This window comes from Homo sapiens, chromosome 12 (assembly GCF_000001405.40).
Source record: "Homo sapiens chromosome 12, GRCh38.p14 Primary Assembly".
NCBI lineage: Eukaryota > Metazoa > Chordata > Mammalia > Primates > Hominidae > Homo > Homo sapiens.
The window spans coordinates 54,658,308-54,660,227 of record NC_000012.12 but is presented as its reverse complement, the minus strand read 5'-3'; the positions used below and the strand labels follow the sequence as shown (position 1 = coordinate 54,660,227).

General features: G+C 52.6%; 1 annotated feature.

The window, feature by feature from the left end:
• Positions 1,297 to 1,346: a silencer, noted in NCBI's record as "silent region_4532". NCBI's record gives its function as "represses an Ori minimal core promoter by ATAC-STARR-seq in GM12878 lymphoblastoid cells {active_cell/tissue: GM12878}" and the evidence as "EXISTENCE:reporter gene assay evidence [ECO:0000049][PMID:35858748]".

The following is a 1,920-nucleotide window of genomic DNA, read 5'->3' as shown; positions in this document are numbered from 1 at the left end:
CTGGGTAGTATTCCAGGTAATTCATAAAGAAAAGAGGCTTCTTTGGCTCATGGTTCTGCAGGATGTACAAGAAGCATGGCACCAACATCTGCATCTGCCGAGGCCCTCAGGCTGCTTCCACTCACCGCAGAAGGCAAAGGGGAGAGTGTGTGGAGATCACATGGTAAGATAGGAAGCAAAAAGGTGGGAAGGTGCCAGTCTTCTTTTAACAACCAGCTCTCCTAGGAACTAATAGAACAAGGACTCATTACAGTCAGGATGGAACCCTCCAGACTCTTCTCCAACGGTTCTCAAGAACATCCCTTCTGTAGACTGGGACAACAACTCACCACCACCACCACCACCAGTCCCACTAATCCCCACTCTCAGCTCCCAATCTCAGGAATTCCCTGCCTTCTCCTCCTTGAGTTAGCTATATCCTCCAAGAAGCCTCTTCACTCCTGCTGATCTCCTTCCTTTCTCGCCCGTGGAGTCTATACTCAATAGATCTCAATCACTTCTGAGGCGTCTTCCATTTCCTCTCTCCACCTGCTAAACTCTAAGCTCCCTGAAAGCCTACAACAACAGTCCATGGCGTGTTGCCTGGCACAGTGCAGGTGCTCAAAGAAAATAACAACCCAAGGCCCCAGCAGCCTGTGTTCTTCCCTGAGAAACCAGCCTGCCGCAATCAAGCCAGAACCCCACGCACCTTCGCCTCAGGCCTCACCACAATGCTGAGCACCAGAACCACCTCTACAGGAGGAAGAGGTGGCATGCTGCCCACGTCCATGTCTTTCAGGGCCTTGGTTTCTTGATTATTCCCACCATGAGACTCCCATCAGGCAGGAGGCTGCAGGGGGGCAGTCCCCACCTTCCTTCCAGGGAATGGACATAGACCGATGCTCTTTGACTCTCTGTCTCTCTCTCTCAGGAATATTTTTGAAGTTGGATGGAGCTCCCTGAGATTTAGTCAAATAATGAACAGAGCCTACACATAACCAAAGACCCAAGACTGCTGCTCAGGACTCAACACTGCCTGCTTCTGTAGTCTCTAGCCACTTGGAAGCAACACCCTTAGAGTAAGGCCTCAGTGAGCCAGCAAGGCTAGGGAGGTGCAGGGGAGCGGCTGAGATAAGGGCATCTCTCCTTTGTCTTAGAAGGTAGAAACTGAGAAGAGACTTGTTTCTTTCAGCTAGTCCTTCCTGTGAGAAATATGCGCCAAGTATGTTTCTACGCAGTGTATCTTCTGTGTGTGTACATTGCGCCCTGGGAATTACAACACTGTAAAAGATAAGGGCTGGCCTGGGCTGTGTAAAGGAGAGTGGCTTAAGGCGAGGGTTGCAGAAGATGCTTTCTGGAGGCATGGAGGCCCTCAGAGCTTCAGGCTGTTTCCGTAGTGCCCTCTGCTGGCCCAGATTTGCTATAGCTGTTAGGACAGAGCTCCTGATGCTGGAGACCTAGGGGAAGAGCCTGGGAGGCGGCTCCCCTCAAGCACTTTAAACCTCATTCACGCAGCGGCAGCCTCCACATATTGAGAACGGATCTTGGGACTGGGGAGAAGCAGAAAACCTACAAGGCTGGAAAAATTGTTAAGCCAGTGTTTTTCCAAAGCAGAAGAGTGTTGGGGTTGGGGGGAAAAGGGTGAGGAGAGAGGAGGGTGAAGACCGTCAGTCCAGGGCATGTACTCAGAACGCTCTCTGGAAAGGTGAACTGCCCGCCCACGCAGGGCTCCAGCCCCTGAGTCTCAGGCAGTCCCGTGTCAGCCCAAGGGCACTGGGAGACCTGGGAGGGCCCAGCCCACACACAGGGACTGTCAGAACTGGCGGGGGACTGAGAGAGATCTAGGGAAGCCCACTTGTTTTTCACAGGAGGAAACGGGACAAGGGAGGGGTAGTAGCTTTCCAGGAACACCTAGCGAGCTAGTGGCAGAGCCGTGAAAAG